Consider the following 26,929-nt stretch of genomic DNA (forward strand, 5'->3'; position numbering starts at 1 on the left):
AGAGACTTGCTTTTTAGGGAAGCAGAGAAAGGCCTGCTCTTCCTAAGGTGAAGCACATGGTATTCTCCACTAGGAGGTGCAGAAAGTGACAGTGGTTGGAAAGAGTGGAGCAGACACTTAGATGGGCCTTGTTTTATCTTCACCCTGTACACTCCAGATCTAGACCATTTGTGTGCGTGTGCTTATGTGCGTCATCATAAAACATGCATCAGATCATGTCTCTTTCAAGATTCAGAGTTTCCAAGGGCTTCCCATGGCCCTTCCAGTCCCTTCCAGATCTTCACCAAGGCCTACGGCTCTCTGGCTTTATTTATCTCTCATTTCCCTTCCCTCTTGCTCACTCTCCTTCTCCTACATTGGCCTGTTTTCTGTTCCTCAGATGCAGCAAACTCATTTCTGCCTCAGGACCTTTAAACCTGCTGTTCTCTCTACCTGGAATGATCTCCTCCATGATTTCCTTCCCATCATCCAAGTTTCAGAGGGGCCTTCTCTGCCTTCCCCACCTAGAGTAGTTCCCGTTCCCCAATCCTCAGCGCTCTGGTTTTTCTTCTCACACACTTAATCACTTTTCTAAGTTTTTGTCTTGGTTTTAACATAGTACCACAAACTGGGTGGCTTAAACAACATAAATTTATTGTTTCAGAGTTCTGGAGGCTAGAAGTCCAAAATCAAGGCATCAGCAGGGTTGGTTCCTCCAAAGGTTGTGAGGAAGAATCTGTTCCATTCCTCTCCCCAGCCTGCTGTTGCACTGGCCTTCTTGGCCTTCCTTGGTGTGTGGAAGCACCAGCTTGGTCTCTGTTTTCACGTTCATATGGCATTCTCCCTGTGTGTGTCATCTCCAAATTTTCCCTTTATGTAAGGACACCAGTTCTATTGTATTAGGGGCTCACCTTTCTCCAGCATGACCTCATCCTAATTAAGCTCATTCCATCTCCAACAACTCATTATTTCCAAATAAGGTCATATTCTGAGGTTACTAGGGGATGGAACTTGAACATATGAATTTTGAGGGGACACAGTTCAACCCATAACAACTATCTTGTATATTTATCTGTTTACTTGTATCTGATCTGTCTCTGTTATTATATTGTCAAAAAATGAATGAGTGTGAGCTGGGGATAGAGGGGTGAGGGCCATCTGGGATCTCTCGTGGGTCTCCGAACCCTCTTCAGACTCTAATGTCTGGGTTATTGGGCAGCCCCTTATGCCAGGCTTCACCTTTCAGAGCAATGGAGATGGCAGACATGCAAACCAAGAAAGCTAGCAAAGCATTGCAGTGCTGTGGCTTCAAAACTCATCCAGGGCAGCACGTGGCATGGGCTTCAGAGTCTCAACTCTTGTACTCACCTGTTGAGTGGCTAGGGGCATGTTCCACTGCGTTGGGAACCTTTGTTTCCAAATCTGAACACTTAGGATGGTAATTCTTCCCTAGCAGAGTCACTGAGACCTGTGGGAAGAATGCCTCTGGCGTGCCCTCGGTCAGCACCCATGACCCGGGAATGGCAACCGTTACCACACACAGGTGGATGGGTTCACGTGGCCGGGGTAGGAAGATGCCACGAGAGGCTGCTCAGAAGAACCTATGCCTGAGCAGAGCTGGGGCAGATGCTGTTCCGGGGGCACTGGGGAGCCCCAGGGAGCAGAAGGCACAATGGCCTGGGCAGGACGGGGCCGGGGCAGCCGTCAGGGTTCCGAGCTGCATCTTCCCTGGGCCATAGATGTCTGGTGAGACACTAACTCAGGAACAGGCAAATCATGCTCCAGTTCCAAAGCCCAAAACCAGCGGAGTCATCCCTGAGTCCTCTCTCATGAGACCACTTGCTCTACCTCAGGACGCTTGCAGAACCCAGCCACTTTCTCCACTTCTGCTGCCACCTCCGTCTCTAAATGCCACTGGCATTTCCTCATTTCTGCCCTGGGCTCCCACAGCCACTTCTCCACTGGATGGCCGAGGGATCCTTTTACAATGCAAATCAGATCATGTGACTCCTGCCCAGAACCCTCCAGCGGCTGCTCATCCACAGAGTAAAGCCCAGTTCCTCCCAGGGCTGGTGAGACCTGCCTCCCACTCCCGCTGACCTCCTGCCTCTCCCCTCATCTGCCCGTGACCCTGTGTCACTTGGGGTCCTTCAGAACGCAGGGTACCTCCCATGCTTGCCTCCCCCTTCCCCGCCGCCTGATCCCCTCCCCACATAAACACACGCCGGCTGCCTCACCCCCGCAGGTCTCCCCTCAGGGTCACCTCATGAGTGAGGCCTCCCTGGAGGCTCACTGAGATCTGTGGGAAGAATGGTCGGTCTTCCCGCAGTGAAACGCAGTTGTCCCTCTCTCATTCTCAGACACAGATGCCCCAGCCCGTCCCCTTCACCTCGCTGTGTTCCTCCCTGTAGCACTGTAAGCTGCCAGCGCACGGCAGCTGCCCACATCACAGGCTTGGCCACCTCCCCACCAGGGACAAGCACCTTGAGGGCAGGGACTTGGTCTTGTTTGCACACTGCTGTCACCCTCGCACCTCTAACAGTGTCTGGCACATGTTAGACACCCAGTGTTTGTGGAATGAATAAAAGAAGGAAAGGGAGGGAAGGTGGTGAAGATGGCAACCTTGGGCTGGTAGGGGTGTGTGCAGGAGGCTGAGGGAGCAGTGGAGAGCCTCGGCAGAGGGGGCGGTTCAGAGGCAGTTCCTGGGTGTGTGCAGAGTGAGGAGGACCCCCCAATAGGACACAGGAGGAGGCTGTGTCAGGAGGTGTCCGGGAGGAGGGCTCCTGGGGCCGTGGTGTCTGCTGGCTGGCTGTGAGCAGGAACCTCCAGCCACTGAAAGCAGGGCCAGAGAGTAAAGCAGATTGTGAGGTGGCCATCCTGTACCCTGTCCCTGCCCCTTATGCCAAGCCTGAGGCCTGTGGGCCAGCTTCCCTTCCACACACAAAAAATGGTGGCTGTGCTGATGGAGTCCTCCATCCCCAGGCCAGCCATGTGACTGTGAGAGAGCCCCGCTTCTCCCAGGGGAGGGCTCAGCCAGTGTCCTTGGGAAGGCCAGAGATACACACTGCCATGGTCCACCCTCCTGGAATGACACCTCTGCTTCTTGCTGCCAGAAGTGGTGACAGACTATCCCCAGTTGGTCTTGCCTGACAATGAGCTCGTGCAGGAAAGCATTTACCCTAGAAATAATAATGTGATAACTAATGTTAATTGCACGCTTAATAGGTTCCACGCTTTGGGCTAAGTGTGATCTAATATCTTACTTAACCCTCAGCATTTCTACCAGCCAGAGACCATTCTTATCTCCATTTTGCAGATGCACACACTGATATTTAGGTCAGAAAACTGCCTACTTCCCAGTACTACAGATGGTAAGTGGTAGGACTGGAGTGGATGGAGGCACAGCCAACTCATGGACCCAGTAGAGACCTGGCATTTCCAGTGCTGGCGTGGTCTCCAACTTTAGAAGGCATAAAAACCTGGAGGGCTTGTCAGACAGACTTTTGGACTCCACCTCCGGAGGGTCTGGTCCAGCAGATGTGGGCTGGGGCTGAAGTTCTGCCTCTCTGACCAGCTCCAGGAACTGGCCAGTAGCGCCCTCCTAGACATTTGCCAGGCACAGCGAACTCTAGGGCAGGATAGCCCAGCTGCTGCTTCAGGTTTGATTACCACCACCTAAGACACGGCCACTTTTTAAAATATTTGTAGTTTAAATTAATAACAGGCTCAGTAAGACCATCAAAAATACAAGTCTCAAGAGGTACCTGGAGAGTGAACAAACTTTCCTCAAACTGATTTCATCCCATTTGCACCTGATGTCTGATACACAGCAGCTACTCGGTAAGCATTAGCTTGCCTTATTACTCCCGCTTGGGCTCTGGTATTCCCTGGGCAGGGGTGCAGTGACCTGAGGGGTGGGAGATCCACATGTGGGGGAAGGAAGACACCTGCGAACAGCAGGCTATGGGGCACGGGGCTAGTGCAGAGGGTCCCTGGACCTGGGGAAGTGATACTAATGTGCCTGCCATGGGCTTGCCCCTGGGCCGAGACCCTGAAGGAAATCGCTATTTCAGCCAACTGCATTGCCTGCACAGGGTCATTTCGTCTATGCCAGCTACCCAGCATGCTTGAAAGCCACCCCCAGAAAATAATTTCTCAGAGCATCATCTGGGTTTAATATTCCGGCGGCAGGTATAAGTGACATCATTGCCTTTTCAGCCCTGAGAGGAAGAGTAATTTTCTTTTAGGAAAAAAGAAGTGAACTATGATTACAGGCAGATCTTTGAGGTGGAGGAAGGAAAGTGAGGAGTTTTAAGCAATGTTTTCTGCTCTCATTCTTGGAACAGCTTTCCCTCTTGCCCTTCCTTTCTCACTTAGCTTATTTAGTTTGGTCCGTTCAGGGTTCCGTTTCCTAAGGGAGGTTTGGTGGGAGATCTGGAAGAAAGTGCTGCTGCTTCTGCATGTAGCAAATGGTGCCCAGCAGGCAGGGCCCATCCCCTGGAACACAGGGCTACAAGCCAACCACTCTGTGCCTGTGAGTAAACCACACCAAAAATGGCCAGTCCAGCACTTCCAGGAGCTGCTCAGGTCAGCAAACTCTTTGAACAGCTCCTTTCAGACAGGTACAGTACTGGAGGGGGACAAAGATGAACCAGAGGGTCCCTGTGCCCCAAGTTCACAGCTGGTTCCGATTGTTCTGTGGCATGGCTCATGAGAGCCACGGCATAGGGAAGTGGGGTGTGGCTTTGGAGGGACACCCTCCTGGCCCAGGAAAACAGGAAAGCATAGCCAATGCCTGCTGGGAGGCAGCAGTTAGAAGTCCAGGCTCTAGATCTCACAAAGCAGAGACCAAATCTTCAAAAAGCAGAGACCAAATCCTGTCTGTCCTGCGACCTGCCAGCTTTGTCAGGTTGGCCTGTTCAAACACCAGATCAAAAACCTACTTTCATCTCCACTGAATTTTCCCCCATGTTAGTAGTTATTTTGTGTTAGCTTCTATTTATCCTTCTTTTGATGTTTTCATACTTTTAATTATAATTTTATTAGAAAGTAATAAAACCAAATTACCCCAAAAAAGTTTTGGAAGTTGCACAATATTTTTAAAAATCACTTATGGTGCTACCACCATCACAGAGCATTTTGGTACATTTTCATCTGCATCATTTTTGTCATGTGAACTACATGTCAGTTTTTTTTCTTTAAATTCTTTAAATTTTTTCTTCTTTCTCTTCCTCACTTATCCCCAAAAATGTAGGAAAAGAACAATTTGCTAAATGGGTTTCAGGCCTTTGGGTTAGTTGTCTCTTTTCTGCTGCAACCTCCTTCCCATTCAAACGGAAGGTCAAACATTACGTTCACTTTAAGGAACTTTCCTCCTGGCTCTTGGCTTCATGCTGAGAGAATGAGCCTCTGGGTCCCCTGGGACTTTATGTGAAGGGAGTCCCTGTTTGCTGCCAAAGAATCTAGGTTCTACTAGTTTGGATTTTTGTCATCTCAAGACACTATCTTCCCGAGGTGGTCTGGAAGGGGGCATGTGTGAGAATCCAGTTACTATTTACCCAGGCAACTAGCTCAGCACCTGCTCACAGCAGGCTCTCAATAAGCTTTAAAAAGTTAGTGCCACATGACCAGCATCGACTGGCCTCAGACATCTGCAAGCACTCACCCAGGCCACAGGGTCAGGTAGAGGGCTCCTGGGCCCACTGTAGCCCCTGCTGGGTCAGTGTAGCTGGAAGGCTACGGGCCCTTAGTGGGGAGCCACAGCCTTTCCCACTAGGGGGCCTCTCACTCTGACATCTCCCTGTGGTGTTCGGACCAAGGGTGGGGAGGGAGACACGCTGGCCCTAAAGGGAGGTGGTAATGAGTGAAGATCTCCAGGCCCAGCCCACAGGGGCTCCGTCCATCTGCTCCTGAAAAGCCCACGCTGGCCTGCCTGCCATAATGCCAGCCCTGTCCCAAGAGACTGGGTTACTCTTAACCAGGCAGAGAGCCTGCTCTCTGTGCATTCCCCAGCATGGGATGGAAAAAGGGCCTGAATGGTCCTTGGTCCCTTTGCCAACCTTTGTGTTCCCCTGGACCTCACCACATCCCTGAAGACGCTTCTTCTCCCCTGCGTCCTCACCCTTCCAGGGACAAGAGCATTCCACAGCCCTGGCTGGAGAGTGATGGGATTAACAAGAGATGGAGCCCCACATGCCTCTCAGGGGAACCCTCGCTTGGTCGAGTGAACCCTCTGCTACATGAGCTTCAGACTCAGTGCTTTGTAAGTAGGTGCAAAACCTGGCTGAAACAAGCACAGCACCCCGCCTGGGCACGTGAAACCCTCCAATCCCCTTTGAGAAGGAAGCAAGTCAACGGTGCCCCTTCACTGTGTTTCTGCTTATTGGGAATTTCCTATAATCCCATTTAGTTTGGGTTTTTATTTATTCAGTACTTCTCAGTGTCTGTATTTGGTATTTATAAATTATATACTGCCGTCTAAAAAAATTTCAGTGAATATATACATGCAGGATAGTTGTCCTGACTAAGAGATCAGAAAGTAAATATAGCAAGGGCAGAGAAAGGAATTGAGGATTAAGTGCTCAGCTTCCTGGAAGCCAAATCAGAAAGAAAAATGAACTTTTTGTTATTTAATTAAAACAAAAATCCAGATCTGAAAACAAACTTTTCTGGGTGCTAAATCTCATTAGGTCCTTTTAGGAGAATCATTCAAAATAACAGTAAATGGCCTTCCATTATGACTTTTTGAAGGTGCATAAATGTTTTTCATGTGGCCAAGGACAAAGTCAAGGGTGACTGATGCCTTTAGTAGCTATACCCATTGGTACTCTAGGCCAGTGGTGCTGTCTTGCTTGCTCTCGAATGGTTTTAATGCCCATGATTGCTATTTGTCCAACTTTGGAAGAGGAAATAAATAAGAATTGGCTTTAAATAAAATCTTATAGTCACTGGATGAAAGCAGCCACTTGGGTTGACCCCCAAGGCACCCCCTCTCCCTGCCAGTTGTCCATGTTTCCATTATCCTGTAGGATTCCTCAAAACCTGACCCTTCACCTTGTACATCCTCGGAAACTCAAACCCTGCCTGTCTGTCAGCCCCTCTGCATCAGTCCCTCCTCAGTGGCCTGTGCTTTGAGATCTCTCTTAACTGAAACTTAAGACAGCTTCAAAGTTGCATACACCTGCCAGATGTAGTGGCATACACCTGTAGTCCCAGTAACTTGGGAGGCTGAGGCAGGAAGATCACTTGCGCCCAGGAGTTCCAGGCCGCAGTGCTCTATGATCGCGTCCGTGAATAGCCACTGCACTCCAGCCTGGACAACACAGCAAGACCATATCTCTTTAAAAAAAAAAAAATTGCATACACTGTTTATCTTCCACAGCAGTGGCTTCCATTTATTTATTTGAAATTCTAGTTTATGGATTTTATGGATTCATAATAGCTGTACATATTTTCACAGTACTTGTGGCCATCTGATACACTCATATAACCAAATCAGAGTAACTGAGATGTCCATCACATTTACTAAGCACATATTTGCACCTGTCATGGTTCAGACATTGTGTGTATATCATCTTTAAGCTTTGATGCTAAGAATCATTTTTCCTGTTTTGTATATTAGTAAAACAATGATCCAAAGACTGGTCTCTGAGCCAGGGTTTGCATTTGTATCCTGTCTCTTCCAAATGCTAGCTCTACAACCCTGGGCAAGTTACTTTCCTTCTCTGTGCCTCTATTTCTTTATCTGTAAAATGGGGGTAATACAAGTAAGCATCTCACAGGATGGCTGTACCAGTCAGGGCTCACTCAGAGGCTTAGGAGGGACCTAACCTAAGGATGGCACACAGCTGGAGGAGCTGGTGGAGAAGGAGACTCCTGGTGTTGGGGCTGAGTCTTCCCAGGTCGGCTTGGCCACCAGATGGGAAAGAAGGCTGCTGGGAAGTCGGGGAGATGTGCTGGAATCCACCTCTGTCTCTCACCGCCTCAACTTCTGTGACATGGTGACCTGAGGAGGAGCTGGTACCCTTTGCCATGGTCCTAAAACACACCTGCCCAGGGCCAGGTGAAGCTGAAAATGGAGATCTAGTGAGAGCTGAGCAGCTGCAGGCCTGGGAGCACTGAGCCAGCTGACTGGGGACAGCCCTACTCTAACCTTCAGAGCATGAAGAAATGGCTGCTTCTGCATTTCCACCTTACACCCAACCCTATACAATGCTGCAGGGAAGGGACTTCTGGGTGGTTCTCGCGTGCCTAAATCAACACAGTCAAGGCCACATGGTTATGGGATGAAATGAACAAAATATAGGGAAAGAATTTAGCATGGTAAATCCTGGCACATGGTAAGGACTATTAAGAATTAGCTACTGTTATTATCATTATCACCGCCGCCACCACCATCATCATCATCAGAGTCCATAAACCACTAAGGATTGAAATGCACAGAGGCGGCTCCACCATTAGCTGAATTTGGTAGCTGCCCAGGGCCTTCCCAACAGCAAGGGCCTCTTTTCAGACCACAAAATATATCACTTTCCTGACTGAGATAGGAATTCAAGATGCTTGATTGGTTGATAGGAACATGTGCCCATCTCACTCACATATGTGGGATTTATATACATTATTCTAGAAGATGCCACAAATTACTTTCAAGTGGCTCACCAAAAAACTATACAGATTATATTACATATATACTCATACATATATGTATACGTATATAGATAATATGTGTGCATATGTAGATTTTTAAAATAAGACAACTTCATCTAAGTGGTGGGTCTAGGGGTGTTGTTCTTTAACACTTTCGGATGTTTGAAAGTTTTATAATAAACATTGGAGAAAAGCGCACATATTTTCAGCCATTTTTAGGGGATAGTTTTGGGGGCCTTTCCCCAGTGGAGGCCACTGAATAAACATTGCCAGATTTTTATTTAGAATATATAAAAGCTATCATCTGCTAGGTAAAACATAAGACACACACAGTGTCTCTGTCCTCCTAAAGTAGGTATCTAAGTTGTACTCTTTTCCTTTTTTTTGTTTTTGTTTTTTTCTTTGAAACCACCTTTGTAAAATAAAATTGTACTTTTAATGTGCATTAGTGACCAGGAATCTACCCGTCCAACCCCAAAGCCAGTTCAGTTAGCAGGGACTCAGTAATGCTCTGAGGATGCATCTGCAGGTGTTTGTTTATGGCAGAACTTGACGACTAGATTTTAGAAGGTGATGGGACCCATTATGAGCCATGGAGACTGATGACTTACCAGTAACAACACTGCAAGTTTATAGCAATTGTAAAAATGTCTGTAAGTCAGAATGGAAGTGGCAAGGGCAGGAAGCTTGAGTATTATCATCCTGAAAGACAAGGCCACCTTCTTGGGAAGGGGGCCTGCCTCCTGCATAGCCACGTTCCTTGGCCTCTGCTCATACAGAGCCCTCCACCATGCACCACTGCCCTCATAGTGACACTCAGGAATAAGAAAAGTCCTGCCACAGCATCTGCTACTGTAGTTAATCCTTATGGCAGTTGTTGTCATCAACACAGACCTGTAATCTTTAGGTCAGGAGGAATTTATGTCATGCCTAAATTTAACCAGTTGTCCATTCAGCCAATTTATAGAGTGCCTGCTCTGTGCCAGGATCTGTGAGCTCAGAATACATCAGTAAACAACACAGACAGAAGTCCCTGCCCTAGTGAAATTATATTCTAGCAGGGGCAGGCAGATAATAAACAATAGCTGTAATAAAAATTATGTAGTGTATTAGGAGAGCCGATGGGGGAAATGGGTTCAACCTGCTTTTTAAAACTTGTAATAGGCTGATTCTGTTTCTCAAATCACTGTTTACTAAACCTCCAAAGCATAAGGATTTTTGGTTACTTGAATCAAGCCATTATTGTCCTCACACATGCTAAGATTCACTAGTAATCCAAACCAAAAACTTCTGGAAGCATGTAGATAAACCCTCCTGTGGAAGAAATGACCACATTTGTTTTCAAATATATTCCCTTGTGTTTACATAATATATATTATACAAAATATATAGGATTTTGAATTTTTTAAATGTATGTCATTTTAGTTTGATCCTAGTATATTGCTTATCTGAAATACTTGTAGGAAATTGCAAATAGATTTTTCTAGACCTCAAAAGAGAAGAATAACTTCCTGAAATTGAGAAGCAAAGAAAATGCCTAGAACTGCAGGGTTGAAGTCAAAAGCTAAATCTTTAGGCTATGGCTATCTGCTCATTTCCTATAAATTTCCAAGAAATTAGGTTTTATAGGTTTCTTGTCACATAGGTTTCATGTAAATAAGATTTTTTTTTTTCTAAAAGTGTTCTCCTTTTCTGATTCATTTCCAACAATGCAAATGAGAAATGTAATCTAGCTGTTTTAAGAGAACCAGCTACTACTGAACCACCTAAGCGATGCTCTGAGTATAAGGGTTAAGCTGCCCTTCTACTAATATTCAGCACCGGTCAGCTCCAGATTGTGGCCAACTGAAGTGTTGCCTTTTCAGTACTCCTTTACTGAGAGCCTCCTACCCCATTCACACAGAAGTGCCGTGTTAGAATAACCCAGTCCCGCCTCCCTAGCTGTAGTCGGTGTGTCAAGACTATCTGTGCACCAGATGTCACGAGGCATTGGGGATTGGAATTGGGAAAGAAAAGTTGGCTCTTCCATGTAAAGCTTGGGGAGTGGTCAGAAGCTGTGTTTTCCACCAGGGAGAGAAAGCCATCCTGCCTTGAGTGAGAGGAAGGGTGCTGACCTGCAGAGAGAAGGCCAGAGAAGAGAAGGAACAGGACTTGTTGTGTCTGAACCCTTAGCTCCACTTATCCTGTAGCCCAGCTGCATTCCTGCAGTTGTGGACATCTCCCCAGTTCATTCAATCTCTTTTCTTAATAGCATGAGTTGGGTTTCTGTCCTTGACAAACGAAAGAGTAAAACAGTCTTAGGAGACAAATTCAGTTCTGACATCTTTCCTTTGAAAGGGCAATGGAAAGGAGTAATGAGAACGGCTGAAGAAATAACAGGACCAAGGAGGAAGTTTCCAGAACTTGGTCATTATTGAGTGAAGAAATAATTTTATAAACTCTCTTAATGTCATATTTAAAAAAACAAAAACAAAAAGCGTCTTTTATCTCCTTTTCACTAGAGGAAATGGATGAAAGTCAAAACCCAACCCACACTGTTAAGAAGAGGGGGAATCCAGTTGGCTTAGCTCAGTCTTTTAGTTGCTTTTCATTAGGTCAGGTGTCTACCCCAGCTCAGTCACTTAGGTGGCAGGATCAGGGTCCTGTAGCATGAACAGGTGCAACTGGGACCTCAGGAGGAGGCCTGTGCATGGTCACAAGAGGACACCACGTTGTAGGGCCCAGATGTCAATAAAGGAAATTGCTTTCCAAGATCCACTTAAGTCTAATGGTGTGGATCACCAAGTTATGAGCACCTTTAGTGGCTTTCTTTCCTAAACCTGCTTCTCTCTTCAGTTGCCTGGCTGGTTTGGGGTTGCTCCTTTAGTATCACGCTCAAGTGGGACATTTTAGACAGCTGGGGCTTCCAGGTTCAACCAGCTCCTCTCTTCCATTAACTCAGGAACACCAAGTTATCAGAGGGCTACAGAGGCAGCAAAGCCTCAAGAGAGATGCACAATCCAACTGAATAAGATGTAAGTAACTTAGGAGAAACAAACACATGCAGAGCCAATGAAGCCATGATGGAAGTTAGCCACAATCTGAGTAAAGTGCAGAGAGGATGGGCCATGTGCACAGCTCTTTTCAGTTCTGAATCCCTGTTACAGAAACCACAAAAGAGGCTGCTGTGTGTCCCTCCTTGTTGGGACACCCCCTGGCTAGAATTGCTGTCTGTGTGCAACCTCAGTCAGCTAGAAAAGCAACACCAAACTGTTGGAAATGATGTAATTACCTGCTTAATGGACACTTAATCCCAGAAAAATTTAGAATAGAAATAATACAGTAAAAATACATGATATTAACATTTTTTGTGGTAGCTGAGAAACAATTTGGTCATGTTTGGTATTTTAAGAATTTGTTGTGTTTTACAGAATTTGACCTATTAAGACAAGAGGTCAACCTTGTGATTCCAATGTAAAATGTAGTTTAGAATTGATTTAGATTTGTACTTTTAAGTTGAGGAATATGAGAGCAAAGTTTTAGTAAATTTGTAACATTGAAACAGTTAAGAGGATCTAATTGTCACCATGTTTATATGTTGAATTGATTAGATTTACAAGAGTTACTTAAGTACTTTAAAGATTTTGTTTATGAATAAGACCACTGAACTACTTAAAAAGAAAATCAATACATTAAATGTATAAATGAAGTTTAAGATGTTAAAGGAAATTAAGCTACAAAGCCCTTTTAAAAATAATTGTTAATTGTTAACATTTGCTAGACTTATTAATAGAATAAGATTTGTGAGTTGAACTCAGTCAATTTAAGGGAAAATTGAGCTTGAAATTGGTAACTTTAATTAATTGCATGTTAATTTTTAAAAGTATTTTTTGGATTTTTTTCTGTACCCAAAAGCAGATCAGAAAACCTACCTTGATATTCCAGAATTTTATCTGATTATGTAAACCCCCACCCTAGGTAACTAATGGAGGGTTAGTTTAATCCCAGCCAGGACGACTTTACGTACAGCCAGAATCCCAGGACTCAACTACTATCCTGGGTGAGTTTAGAATCAGTGAGACAGTTCTGGGGGCCAGTTCTCACCCACAGTGTTCCTGGAGATGTCCTGTTTACTCTGGGTTCTTCCAGATCCTGCGGACATGGGGTTCTGGCCTGTCTCTCTGAAGGCCCTTTGCAACTCCAGGGTGGGCCCAGCCTGAATCAGAGACCCCAGACCCAGATCATCCTGTAGCCTTAAGGGTCCCCAGCAGGTTAAGAGGCTGGTACTTTTTCAGGCAAATAGCCCACTGACTACATACGAGGTTGCTGCCATATCTGAAAATGCAAACTTGAGATAACTCATTATTTACAACGTACTTGCATCCCATCTTGTCTCTTAGTTAATTGACATATTCTTTGAACATCTATAAAGTTGTCCTGTCTTTAGGTCCTTTTGTTTCTGCATTTGTGTCTTAAATACTATGCACTTCAAAGATGGGATTTTTTTTTAAATTTATAATGTTCTTATTTGCTTTTTACCACTCAAGAAAGCCCACGCAGAATTCTGGCCAGGAGAGCACCTAAGGACTGCTGCTTTGCAGATAATAGAATAGCCATAGTGAATTCTTGACCTGTTCTTGGCATGAATCTTCTAACCCTTGAAACTTTTGAGGTGCTGTCCTAAATTCTATTTGCTGAGAAGAGGCATTGTTAGTACAAGGCTAATCTCAACAATCAACATTTTCCCCCCTTAGGCAGATTTATGGAAAAGATTAGATCTATAGTTACTGTTTAGAATCTACAATGGCCATGACGTCCATGTATTCTGAGGAAGGCTGGATGGACCGTTTGTTCAGCCTGAGTCTTTGTCCTGTGGGCGGTTAGTTGATCTCTTCTGATGTAGGCAGCCTGTGTTTTTGGCATAAGCATTACAAATATATTCAATAGTTCTCTGTTTTAAGTGAGCTAACAGATAATACTGCAAGAACAAACTTATGTAAGCCATAGAAATGGGTGGAACTGATGAGGATTCAAGGCTAAAAAGCAAGTTTTGTTATTTAAACAGATCTGCAGATAAGAACAAAATTAAAATTTATTGAGAGGGAAATGTGGCAGTGGAAATTCATTCTCTGGAATTTCCATTATCCATATCATTTTCCAGACAGAGGTTAATTGAAAGGACAAGTTCAACATACTTTAGCCAAGATAATTGTATACAAAGAGGGGGAAATGTGAATGCTAAAGGAATTAACATAGTAGGGATAAGACAAAAGGGACAGAACGCTCCTGTGTGCTGGCGCCGCCTCTCCCGCTAGCTTTCTCACTGCACATTATACAGGGCACAGTTTTTCTAGGTCTCCATTTTTACAGCTTTCCAGAATCACAGATTTTTGGAGCTGGGAGGTTGCAAGAGTTTAGTTCACATAGAGTAAAAAAAGGCATTTTTTAAGTTTTGAAGAGTATATAGTCATGAAAATGTAAAGTCATTCAGAATAAAATAATTTCAGTAGCCATAAAAATAGATGAGGGCCCCTGAACAAGAGAAGTAAAGCCAGCTAGGCAGAAGGGAAAAATCAGAAAGTTGGCCCTTGTCCGGCTGCACATTAATTCAAATCACCTGAGGAGCTTTTCAACTGATGCCTGGGACCCACCCCGGAGATTCTGTTTCAGTTGCTCTGGAATGGTTTTTTTTTAAAGCTTCCTGGGTGATTCTTATGTGCAACCAGGATTGCAAAGTACCGGCCCACGTAATACAATAAATTCTGCTCTCATTTCTGTTCCTCTTGGCATGATTTCATGACAATCTCAGTCTTGAGGACGCTGCCAGTATCTTTCCTGGCAAATACGTGTGTTCACTGATTCTAATGACGGTGTGGGTGGCCAGAGTGGAGGATGGTTAGGTGGGGACTATGATGCCCAGCTGCAGTCTGGGCAGTAATATAACCTCGCCAAGTCCAGTGGAAGGTTTTGAGGGTGTTGAGGAGACCTGACTCACTGGTGTTACCACAGTTTAGGCGTGGATCCTTTTCTGATATGGTCAGCTAGCTCAGCCTTGCAGTAGCACTGCTTTTGAGTTTTCGTAATCCATTTTTATTATGTCAAGTAGTCGGGGCTCACTTTTCTCTGAATTAGTGATTGGAGTCTAGGCCAAAAAGCAAGAATAGTGATAAGTATCTCACACTTAAAGTTCAGAGAAGCTCTAGCTGTGAGACCAGCCACTTCCCTCTTCAAGGCAGGCTGGGTGGCCCAGTTCAGCAAAACCAGAATATCCTTTTCCCCCTATCTTCTTACAAGGAAGTTGGGGGCACAGGAGGTCAGTAGGTTGGCTTTGGGGGCACACCTCCCCTCTGCTCCCTACCAAATCAAGAGTCCCCAAACCACACTCCCCTCCTGCCCGCACTGATTGTCTCTTGTCTTTATCATTCTGAGACACTGAATGGCCAAGACTTGATGCTGCAGGCCTGGGCCCTAAGAAAGGAGCAGGAGGGAGATGGCCGGGCTAAATGGGAAACAGTGTCTATGCCTAGATGAGAGAGTGGAAAAATTGGTTTAGAAGTTTGTACAGAAAGCAATTGACAGGAGTCGACAAATTAAAGACCACAGGCCAAATCTGGCCTGCCACCTATTTTTGTAAATAAAGCCTTATACACACACACACACACACACACACACACCAGTTGAACCACCAGATCAGCTACCTCTTCCCCTTCCCATCAGAAGGCCAAAGCTTACTCTCTGGAAAGATGGACCAGGGACCTAGACCACAGGACACCAAGCACAGTCAAGGTAGGAGTGCTAGACCGCAGGACGCCAAGCACAGTCAAGGTGGGAGTGCCATACTGGGCCCAGGAGGAAGAAGTGCAATCTGTGTTACACTTCTGGGACTGCCAGGTTCCTAACACCTGCCCAGGCAGGAGGCTGAGGGAGTCCCCTCTCGGGAGAACTGGGAGGCTAGTGGCTGCCAAATCAGACAGCACAGATATTGAACATTTACATCATTGCACAGAGTTCTATAGACAGCACTGCTCTAAGAAATGACACTTGGATAAGGGTAAAACCTCTTTTTTTCCCCCATTATAAGCTTTGTAGAACTAATGTGTACTTTGTTTTTAAAACTCTGTTTACATATCAGTTTATAAAAATAAAAATTTAATTCAAAAAATGATAGGGAGGCATTCCCGCAGAACTTAGACCCCCAGGTTTATGCAAGGGCATTATATTTTCATAATACAAAAGTTTAGCAGCAACTCTCACCTGGGGGCACTTGGCATCTCTCCTCCACCAGGGGACATTTGGCAATGTCCTGAGGCATTTTTGGTTGTCACAACGGGGAGGTAGCCAGGGTGCTATTGGTATCTAGTGGATAGAGGTCAGGGATGCGGTTAAACATCCTCACAGGACAGCTCTCCCAACAAGGAGCTATCTAGCCGAAAATGTCAATTGTGCTGAGCTAGAGAAAACTGAGATTAAACTGAATCTCCAAGATTCCAGTCAGGCTCGCAGATAGATATGCATGCATGTACTTTTTCTTTTAATGAGACAGGGGCTTGCTATGTTGCCCAGGCCGGTCTCAAACTCCTGAGCTTAAGCGATCCTTCCACCTCAGCCTCCTGAGTAGCTGGGACTACAGGCGTGTAACATTGCGTTGGCTTAATTTTTTTTTAACTTGAATCCTTCAGGCTAGAATGCAGTAATTAGCTAAAGTTCAGTCCCACAAGCTAGCATTATACCCTCAGTGCAATAGAAAATTACATTGGAGAATTGAAGAAATTATCTGGATAATTCAAAAACAAAATACTCTATCTCTTGTTGTTCAAATAAAGTAAGAATGAGATTTTTAACCTAAGTTATTGTTAATTGTTTCTGTCAGCTCCTCCTGGTCATTGAACTATGTCACGGGATATTTCTCTTTGGAAATTTCTTAAAATCAATGATACTTAATGAAACTCTGATGATCCTTTGTTAATATAAAAATCAGTTCTGTCTACTCCTGTGTTTTACAGCCAATGGGCAGGGTAATTCACAAATTACACCAAAAATAAATATTCGGGGAAAGATGCAGAACTTATACAAAGAGAAAGCTTGCACCTGGGCATGATATTCTTTCAAGTTTTACAGATTCTATCATTAGATTTGTTGGCGCTAGCTCCGGGTCCTCAGCTGTCACTTTGATTTTCTCTGTTGTTCCTCCTTAAGTGAATAGCTTTTTAATATACATCAGATCAATATCCATGTTGTTTCCTAGAACTTCTAGGTGCCCAGCCCTTTTCTGTTTATTAATAGTATCTCCTAGGATCCTTGCCACATTTTCACAAGAGTCACTACTGATACAGGTTGACTATCCCTTCTCTGAAATGCTTGGGATCAGAAGTGATTAAGATTTCAGATTTTTTTGGATTTTGGAATATTTGCATTATACTTATCACTTGAGCATTGGAAATCCACAATCCAAAATGCTTCAGTGAGCATTCCTTTGAGCATCATGTCAGCACTCAAAAGGTTTCAGATTTTGAAGCATTTTGGATTTCAGATTTGGGATTAGGAATACTCAACCTGTATTAAACAAAGCTGGTCCCTGAGGCAACTACTCAGATATTTTTTTATTTGAAAAGTTGCTCTTTATCATTAGATGTTGCTACTGCTTTTCCCAAAAATATCAGAGTCCTCATAACTTTTTTCTGTTAAAATCAAATAATATTTATTGGTATTTATGATTTATGATATATAGGCATATATCATAACTTACACACATATAAGTACCTTAAAATTACCTTAAGTTATTTTAGAAGATATGTATTTGTATCTCACATGTATTTTTGTATTTATTCATTCAGGAATATATTGAGTGCTTGCTATGTACAAAACTGAACATTTGTTTAAACACATAATTGCAGGATCAGATGTCAAGCAACCCAATTTCTAAAAGCCTCACAGAACTAAGTGAAGATTTAACAATTAACCCAGTTCCTCTAAATATATCAATATCTCCTATTTGTTGGAGTAATTTGTAAGCTCAAGTACAACTGAGAATGATAGGGACCTAAAGAATCGTGGCTTAATCAAGAGTGGCTTATTTTCTGTCCTCCCTGTGGTCATCCACAGTACTCAGGAATCCTGGTTCACAATGGCTACTGGATGCAGTAGCAAAAAGTTTTTAAAATAGAGCAAGGGGCCAGGCATGATGGCTCATGCCTGAAATCCCAGTGCTTTGGGAGGCCAAGGCAGGAGGATCACCTGAGGCCAGGAATTCAAGACCAGTCTGGGAAACATAGCCAGACCCTGTATATACAAAAAAAAAAAAAAAAAAATTGGCTGAGCATAGTATCACATGCCTTTAGCTCTAGCTACTCAGGCAGCTGCAGCAGGAGGATCACATGAGCCCAGGAGTTTGAGGCTGCAATAAGCTATAATCGTGCCACTGCACGCCAGCCTGGGTAACAGAAGGAGGCCCTGTCTCTAAAGAAATAAAGAAATAAACCAGAGTACAGTAAGTACCAGCCTTAAAGAAAAAAAGATAAATGACTTTAAAAAGAACTTCTGTTCATCAAAAGATACCAATAAGAGAACAAAAAGGTAAGCCACAAACTGGCTGATGATATTTTTTGCAATGCATATATCTAAGAAAGGTGTTAAATCCAGAGTATGCATAAAAAGCAGGCATGTCTCTAAAAGCAATGCCTAAATAGCCCATAAACATCTCATAAGATGCTCAATATCATCACTCATCAGGGAAATGCAAATTAACAACATGATGAAATGCCATTACCCACCAGAATGGCTAAAATTAAAAAGAATTACAATGCCAAATGCTGGTGAGGACGTGGAGCAACTGGAATACTTATAAATTCCTGGTAGAATTATGTATCGACGCAACCAATTTGGAAACTGACAGTATCTACTAAAGCCGCAAACATGCTCATGCTGTGGCCCAGCATTTCCACTCCTGGGAATATACCCAAGAGAAATGAGTGCATGTTGTTCACCAAATGAGGGGAAGTGGCCAAATGAGGCTTCACAGCAGCACCTTGAATTTTGTCTCCGAAGATGGCAGGTATTCTCTAAGTGCACAGACACTGGGAGCACCATGTAAAGTCATGGAGATACAAACGAGCATGAGGTGTTTGGGAGCATGGTAGTTGTAAACTGCTGGCGCACATGAGTTAGGATTCTAGAAAGACACAAGGCTCAAGGGGTAGGCCGGGTCTTGTAGAGCTTGCCAAGGAGTGAGTTTTGCCAAGGAGCTTGTTCAGGTTTGACTTTCAGAGAGATCACTCAAGAGGTATGCGGGGTGAAGCTAGGGAGGCTAAGTAACTCTTGGCAGGAAGCCACAGGGGGTGCTAATTATCACTTTGCTGCCATTTTACCAATTTGGGGGAATAAGTACTTTTACCCTGAATTATACTACCTGCCATTCTATGCAGAGAATGGAATTGGTATGTTGCTATAACTGATGATTTTCCAGAAAGCCTTACACTTCCATAATAGCGACAGGAAGAGAAGGTAGACAGATGACAATCCAGCAAGCATTTGCTCAACCGCCATCCTGTCTAGCTCAGCATCTCTTTGACAACTTTCAAACTTTCTACCAAAAACATCACTGATTTTACAAAACGTGTACGGGCTTTGTCCATTCTTAGGGTGAACTTTGCCCTTTCCATCCAAATCCTCTTCCTGTACTGACCATTCCAGAAAGACAACACAGGCTTTGCCCATGGCCAGCATCCTTAGTGAGTGTGTGAAAACCACCCAAAGGAAAGGGAAAGGAAAAGCAAAACATGGTATTTTTCTTTAGAGCAAGACTCTGATTTCTCAATGTGAACCCGTTGCCCAATTTTCTTGAGACAGCCCCAAATTTGTATTAGTCCCTGTGTTAAAATGGCCATCACGGGCTCATTACACAGCAGACATTGTCACACTGCTCATGTTTCTGCCAAGGAAAACACAAGAGGAAATGATCTTACTGGGAAAGAGGAGGTGTGAGGCTGAGGGTAAAGTCCCTGACCATGAACAAATCATGAGACTCTGCCAGGGCTCCTGGGGGAGGGGCAGAATCACCTTTACTAGCGATTTAAGAAGAAAAGATTCTTACCAAAAAGATAGCTGCACTCGTATGTTTATCACAGCACTGTCCACAGTAGCAAAGATATGGAATCAACCTAAGTGTCCATCAAGTGGATGACTGGAAAAAAAAATGCGGTATATATAGCATGGAATACTCCTTAACTATAAAAAGGAATGAAATCACATCTTTTACAGCCACATGGTTAGAATTGGAGGTCATTATCTTAAATGAAATAACTCAGAAACAGAAAGTCAAATACCACATGTTCTCATTTAGAAGTGAGACCTAAACAATGGGTACACATGGACATGCAGAGTGGAATAAGAGACACTGGAGCCTCCACAGGGTGGGAGGGTGGGAGGGTGACCAGGGGTGAGGGCTGAAAATTACCTATTGGGTGCGCTGTTCACTATTTGGGTGATGGGTACACTAAAAGCCCAGACCTCATCACTATGCAGTATCTGCACATAAGAAATCTGCACTTGTACTCCCTAAATCTATAAAAAGTAAAAAATTAAAGAGAAAGAATTGGCCGGGCATGGTGGCTCACGCCTGTAATCCCAGCACTTTGGGAGGCCGAGGCGGGTGGACCACGAGGTCAGAAGATTGAGACCATCCTGGCTAACATGGTGAAACCTTGTCTCTACTAAAAATACAAAAAATTAGCCGGGTGTGGTGGCACGTGCCTGTGGTCCCAGCTACTCAGGAGGCTGAGGCAGAAGAATCACTTGAACCCAGCAGGCAGAGGATGCAGTGGGCTGAGATCGCGCCACTGCACTCCATCCTGGCGACAGAGCGAGACTCTGTCTCAAAAAAAGAGAGAAAGGATTCTATCCATGTGCCAGGGTATGAGCCTCTTGACACCCAGATCCTTGAAAAAGATGCTTTGCCTCAGTGGTCCGCCGCAGACCCCTTCGCTTCCCCAGTTGCAAACTGTACTCAAAGGTGCAGGGAAAACTTTTGGATCAGTTACTGAATTCCAATTTTTTGGTGACTTTAGGGACATAGCCAAATTTCCCGGGCTGGTTGCCTTAAGCACATTAATTTATGTGATGCTATTCTGTTCCTTAGATAAAGTTCCTTAAATAGAAAGAAGGGAGCTTCTGGATTCCAGGGAGGCAGCTAGCCTGCACTGCTTCAAAGAGAAAGAAAGGAACGAGTACATCGCTGCTGTCACTTGGAGCAGCTCAGGAGGGCAGCCTCCAAGAGCTGAAAGCCAGGGGGAGGCTTCCATGCGAGGAGGATTCAGGTTCCTGTTTCACTCTAAAAAGGTCCACTGAGGAGGAGTCTCTGGAAACATCTAAAGTAACTCCCTCCCAGCCTCTAGTGTTTCTGGTCAGCAGACAAGCACACAAGGGAGGCCAGAGATGGAACCACCACCAGGGGAACAGCACATAAAGGAGCTCCAACCTTCACAGGTGCGGGTTGTCTTTAAATCCAACAAGACCCCACTTTTAGAAACTGACCCCTCTGCCACTGGACAGAGCCAGAGAATACCACCAGATCCGCCCATATGCAAGCCCTGCAGTCACATCAGCTCCAGGCCTCAGGAGCGATGTGGAGGCTCCTCAAGCACCTGCCTCCTGCTGCCACCCAGGATTTCCTGCCATTATTCACAATGCCATATCAGCCTCAAATTCCGCCCACCCAGCAGGCAGCTCCACTGTGCACGTGGGCACCCTCCAGTGAAAAAGACCGGGTACCATCTCTCTTCAAAGCAGCAGAATGTAGGGTTTGTCTGGATTCCTACCTTCGTCATGTGGTAAAAATAAGAGAATACAGGTAGATTTCTGTTAAACAAGCACAGTCGTGAAAATCTCTGCAAAACTACACAGTGTTCATCCTCCATCAGTTGTGCTTGATTTTAAGCCAAATTGAACAGTGCCCTATTCCCTGACACTGGGAACATTTAGACGTCCCCTGGCATTCCTTGCATGGGAACCTTGACCTTCTGCTCCTCATAAAGCAACCACAAAGGCTTCCTTTTTCAGGCAGATTCGGACTGCAAAATTTTTCACCAAGTGCATGTTCTCAAATAAGACTTTGAAGACAGAAGTTACAAGGTGATGCATACTTATCAAGAAAGAAAATGACATTAGGGCACCCAAAGGAATTGGCCTTTGGAAAAAATAAGATAGACATTTGAATTAATAAACATTGTCCCCCTCCCCCGGAAACAACCTCTGTACCCAAGGACTTCTTTCTCTAATAGCCTCATTTTATTTTCTCTTGACTTATTTTCTCTTTTATTCAGCCAATTCAAATGATTAAGAAAATTGGTTTGTTTCCCCAGCAGCCACCCAGCTGTGACACCTCTTAGGCACATCTGAGCCTTTTGGGGCTGCTCCTTACCCCATCCCAAAGGGGTGACTCTCCATTCCTGCTGGATGCCGAGAGCCCTTGTAGTAAACCCCAGTCAGAACCCTTTTCTTATTGCAGGGATTTGTAAATCAGGTACTATTAATATATACTAAGTCAAGCCAGACCGACTGCCCCCAAACCCATTATTTAATTGAAACCTTGGATGCATAGTAAGGTTGGCCTTGGGTTCTGGCCTGTATGCTTGGACACAGACCAGAGAGAGAATCTGAGAGAAGCAGACCCTGGTGCAAATGCGCATTGGAAGAGAGGTCTCCAGTTCTGCACAACAGAAACGGGTTACTGGTGAGCTGCAGTGAGGGCCAGGGAGGGCTGCTGGACCAGGAGGATAGGCTGGGATATGACAGGGCAAAGCTGCTCATCCAACCCCTGCAGGATCCGCAGGATCAGTCAGCAGGCGGCAGCTCCCTTTCCTGTACACAGTTCCTGAAAGGTAACGTATATAGAGGAATCAGTAGTTACTAGCAACAAGTAGATAAATGCTAACCCCGATAGCCCCTCACTCATGGAGGATTTACTGTCTGGAACCATGGACCACCCCACCCTAAGACTGTGTCCTGGCTATCATGCATATACTAGAATCACACCCCATGTGGATCTGGTCTGAAATTGTCTCTGCATAGCCCATCCTGATCACTTCTGTCCTCTCATCAGTAACATTTACAAACAGTGTCTATCAGGTGAGCACACTGTGATTCTTTGGTTGGAAGGAAAGAAACCCTGCAAGCATTCTTTTTGCATTTTGTGATAATTCTTATCTCCGTTATCCTGCTCAGCCAGGCCCATGTTCTTTTTGCCAGTTTGTTGAGCGCAATGGGCATGTGTGCTTTAAAAAGTATTCTGTATTGTGATAAGGAGCTGAATCTCCTCCTAGCCTCGGAGATGGCTCCTCAGACTGAAAACTCTTTCTGGTGCTCCTCAAAGCTCTGCTACCTCTGTCTTTGCTCTAGAGATTGCAGAACTGGTAATGCTGGTAATGCTTTATTGCCATGACATTGCCAGGAGTTTCCAATGATTGGTAACTGTGTTTCCTGATGCATTTAACAATTCCCATCCTGCACTAATGTGATCTGCCTCTCCCCCCACAGGCACAAAGGGTGCATAAGAAGTTTCCTAAACCTGGCAGAGTACATCATGCCTCCGAGAAGAAACGTCATTCCACTCCTTTGCCGAGCACTGCTGTACCAAGCCATACACCTGGCAGCAGCCAGCAGTCCCCGCTCAACAGTCCTCACCCGGGGCCCATCCGGACAGGCCTGCCTCCTGGGCACCAGCAGGAATTTGCCGGACGAGCCAACAGCACCCCCAACCCTCCCTGGTCTTTCCAGAGAAGCAAGTCCTTGTTTTGTTTGCCCACGGGAGGCCCCTCCCTGGCCTCCTCAGCTGAACCACAGTGGTTTTCAAACACAGGTGCCCCAGGGCACAGGGCATCAGAGTGGAGGCATGGCCACCTCCTCTCCATCGATGACCTAGAGGGGGCCCAGGAGACAGACGTGGACACAGGCCTGCGGCTGTCCTCATCGGACCTGTCTGTGGTCTCTGCATATTCTGCACCCAGTAGGTTCTGCAGCACAGTGGAGACACCCCTCCCCTCCGAAAGATGCAGCAGCCACTGGGCAGCTCACAAGGATTCCAGGGAGGGACCACTGCCCACTGTCAGCAGGGTGACCACAGAGGCCTCCTGGGCTTCCCTCCCTTTCTTCACCAAAAGGTCTTCCAGCTCCTCAGCGACAGCTCGTGCTGCTCCCCCAGCTCCCAGCACCTCCACCCTCACAGACTCCTCCCCACAGCTCCCATGCGATACCCCCAAAGTCAAGCAGACTGATGGAGACATGCCACCACCCCCAGGGTCGGCTGGCCCCGGGGATAACGACATGGAGGAATTCTACATCTGAATGCCCTCTGCTCTTGTTCTCGAAACACACAAACTCAGAGACACAGACTCAGGCCCCACTGCCCCTCTGGCCACTGAGCACACCACATTCTTCATGATCCATTTCCCAGGAGCCCGTAGCACATTTGCCTACCACCCACTCTTAGCTGGGGGGTGGTATATCTCTAGAGACACAGCAGAAAAATACTGGCATTTTTATGCAAATAAATTCTCAACAAACTTGTCATAAAATATATTTTTTGAATATTCAGCATTTGAGGTATGGTTTAGTGGGTTTATACAATTTAAATGGCTTATATAATTATTTGAAATGAAAAGAAAACCTAGTCAGCCAGAACCAATTTGGCAATTTTTCCATGGTATGAAGGCAAATCAATTAAGGCCAAAACGTTGAATGTGGGAGAGATAGTAAGTGACTTGTATGAGGGATTACTGCATAATAACGTAACGCACACCTTACTGGATTCTCCATATATATTTACATTACCAGAGAACAGTGGCCCTAGGGATGTTTAAGCACTGCTTATAATGGAAAAAGTCAGCTTGAGAAGTAAACGTATATCAGACTACAGGTAATTCCTCATCTTGAAGCCATGCAACACCTGCAAATCTGGATTTATACAAAAGTTGCTAATGTGTTTCATAAAGATTTAGCATGAGTAACAGACTCTTGGTGCATTTAAAATATGTGAGTTCCAGAAAGTAGATTTGCATACACCTTTTCAACAGCACATTTCACTGGAATGGATGAGGGGCTTCTGAAGACCACTCCACTACCTGAATTTATTTGGATCACTGAGGAAGAGCATTTGTTGGGATTACAGAATTATAGGCCATTAGACATCATGGGTAGGTAGTCTTAAGATCCTTCAACTTTCAAAAACCACAGTCTAAGGACTATATTCAAATGACAAGAGCCGCACTGTATACTGCTTTCTGCAGTGACCATGCTGGGTCACGCATCCTATGTTTCTCATTTTTAAATGATTTGGAACATTTTAGCCAGCATTTTGATCACACAGATTAATAATGCTGTTCTCCCCAAAACGGGAAACTTTACCTGAAACGCTCTCCTGAACAAACACCAGTGCACTGCCAGCCTCACATGATTGCATGGGAGCTTTAATTAACGCTGGAGCCCAGCAACCTTGGCTTTTCCTGCCTGTTATCTGCTACTGTCACACCGTGAATGGTATTTGAATCTCACCTCCCTCTCACCTCAGTAAGAGTATGTTTGTTTACAGCCCCAACCTCAGCAATGCCAAAGGCTGGCATCGGGGGCAGTGCCAAGCTGTCCCTGGATACTATTTACCTTTGAGGAAGAACAGCATGGGTTTGCCAAGCTCAATTCCCAGGCTGGTGCTCCTTGAATTAATCATGGCACAGTGTTCATCTCTCTGGAAATGCCCACGCCAGCCCAGACACAGCCTCAGAGTCCTTTCCAACACGACCCTCCAGGCAGCAGTTACCAACCATCAGTCTTCAGCTGAAGCTTCAAGTCTTTGCCATCCTTGTAATGACAGCCTTAGGCCTTGCCCCAAGCATTCTGGACTCTCTAACACTCAGAATTGTAATGTAATATTCTGCTCTAATTTAAATTTTTAAAAATATAGTCTCCTAATTCAGGATAAGGAGTAAGCAAACTTTCTGAAAAGGGCTAGATAATAAGTATTTTAGGCTTTGCCAGTCATATGGTCTCTTGCAGCTACTCAACTCTGCCACTGTAGTATGAAAGCAGCCATGAGTAATATGTTAATGAATGGGAATGGCTGAGTTCCAATAAAGCTTTATTTTTTTTTTATTTGAGACGGGGTCTTGCTCTGTTGCCCAGGCTGGAGTGCAATGGCGCAATCTCAGCTCACTGCAAGCTCTGCCTCCTGGGTTCAAGCCATTCTCCTGCCTCAGCCTCCCAAGTAGCTGCGACTACAGGTGCGCACCACAATGCCTGGCTAATTTTTTGTATTTTTAGTAGAGACAGAGTTTCACCATGTTGGCCAGGTTGGTCTCAAACTCCTGACTTCGTGATCCACCCACCTTGGCCTCCCAAAGCACTGGGATTACAGGCATGAGCCACCATTCCCAGCCAATAAAACTTTATTTACAAGAACAGCTGGTGGGCCAGATTTGGCCCAAGGGTCATAGTTTATTATCCCTTGAGCTAGGCTGCTGCCTGAGGTTGATTCAACATCCCAGCTCCAGTCAACAACAAAAATTCTAAGTCTCCCGCCTAATGCTGCTGTGGTGTGTCATGCCAAAAAAGTGGGCTACTCAGGTTAGACCAATGACTTCAGAACCACAGGGCTCAGAACAGGAAGGAGCTTCTTTCTGCAGAGCTGATTCCTGGAAAGCCACCAGCACTCCACCTTCTGCCCAGAAATGTGATTCAGTCAATAGCTGATGAGGAAAAGCAACCTGCAAACATTAGGAAGAAGGAGAAAAATAATTCAGAGGTGATGATACCACCTCCAATGAACAGGGAAGCAAGTTCATCAGTAACAAAAGTCAGTGAGGCAAAAAAAAAAAAAAAAAAAAAAAAAAAAGGCTAATGGCCGAGGGCTGGCTCCTTCTTTCTCCCTAATCAGTGTCCTTATTTCAGTGTGCTCACATGCTCGCCTAGGACTGCTTTAGAGTACAACTCTGGACCCGCCCTCATCACAGTCCAATCTACCAAACTGAGTGACCCTAAAGGACATCATAGACAACATTTGAAAGCAAGAAATGCAAAATGTTCCCATAGCATCAGGTGAGCAGGGAGAGGATGCCCACTGTAGACCACATGGAAATGGCAGTCCCTCCACGGAGAGGGAATCACAGGAACACATTTACCAAAGCCTTCCCTTCCATTCCTGGCCATTCCAGTAGCATCTTCCTCATCCAGAAGGGCTTCCAATACTCTCTGGAGGATCCTGACTCGTTTGGAGTATTATCCTTGTAAAAGATGCTGGCACATTGTAGGTGCTCAATAAATGTGTTCAATTGAAAAATATTGA

General features: G+C 45.1%; 1 protein-coding gene across 5 annotated transcripts in view, besides 5 other annotated features; it reads left to right on the forward strand.

Moving 5' to 3' along the window:
- The window catches only part of FAM124A (family with sequence similarity 124 member A), a 61,842-nt gene extending 34,919 nt beyond the window's left edge, over window positions 1-26,923 (forward strand). For 4 of the 5 annotated variants that reach the window (XM_011534978.3, NM_145019.4, XM_017020419.3 and 1 more), the window contains one exon: window positions 23,134-26,923. In XM_011534978.3, the coding sequence (XP_011533280.1) occupies window positions 23,134-23,150 (17 nt within the window). In that variant the 3' untranslated portion in view covers window positions 23,151-26,923. Of the gene's footprint in view, window positions 1-6,108; window positions 6,240-23,133 lie in introns of those variants that run through there. The other variant, XM_047430136.1, reaches the window with a different exon arrangement.
- Window positions 1,095-1,644: an enhancer, noted in NCBI's record as "H3K27ac-H3K4me1 hESC enhancer chr13:51832547-51833096 (GRCh37/hg19 assembly coordinates)". NCBI's record gives its function as "activates a minimal SCP1, AML or CMV promoter by ChIP-STARR-seq in primed H9 embryonic stem cells {active_cell/tissue: H9 hESC(primed)}" and the evidence as "EXISTENCE:reporter gene assay evidence [ECO:0000049][PMID:30033119]".
- Window positions 1,645-2,192: an enhancer, noted in NCBI's record as "H3K27ac-H3K4me1 hESC enhancer chr13:51833097-51833644 (GRCh37/hg19 assembly coordinates)". NCBI's record gives its function as "activates a minimal SCP1, AML or CMV promoter by ChIP-STARR-seq in naive and primed H9 embryonic stem cells {active_cell/tissue: H9 hESC(naive and primed)}" and the evidence as "EXISTENCE:reporter gene assay evidence [ECO:0000049][PMID:30033119]".
- Window positions 5,815-6,333: an enhancer, noted in NCBI's record as "H3K4me1 hESC enhancer chr13:51837267-51837785 (GRCh37/hg19 assembly coordinates)". NCBI's record gives its function as "activates a minimal SCP1, AML or CMV promoter by ChIP-STARR-seq in primed H9 embryonic stem cells {active_cell/tissue: H9 hESC(primed)}" and the evidence as "EXISTENCE:reporter gene assay evidence [ECO:0000049][PMID:30033119]".
- Window positions 22,784-23,440: an enhancer, noted in NCBI's record as "H3K4me1 hESC enhancer chr13:51854236-51854892 (GRCh37/hg19 assembly coordinates)". NCBI's record gives its function as "activates a minimal SCP1, AML or CMV promoter by ChIP-STARR-seq in naive H9 embryonic stem cells {active_cell/tissue: H9 hESC(naive)}" and the evidence as "EXISTENCE:reporter gene assay evidence [ECO:0000049][PMID:30033119]".
- Window positions 23,441-24,096: an enhancer, noted in NCBI's record as "H3K4me1 hESC enhancer chr13:51854893-51855548 (GRCh37/hg19 assembly coordinates)". NCBI's record gives its function as "activates a minimal SCP1, AML or CMV promoter by ChIP-STARR-seq in naive H9 embryonic stem cells {active_cell/tissue: H9 hESC(naive)}" and the evidence as "EXISTENCE:reporter gene assay evidence [ECO:0000049][PMID:30033119]".
- Window positions 26,924-26,929: the final 6 nt, after the last annotated feature.

The sequence above is a fragment of the Homo sapiens genome, chromosome 13 (genome assembly GCF_000001405.40).
Source record: "Homo sapiens chromosome 13, GRCh38.p14 Primary Assembly".
Classification (NCBI taxonomy): Eukaryota; Metazoa; Chordata; class Mammalia; order Primates; family Hominidae; genus Homo; species Homo sapiens.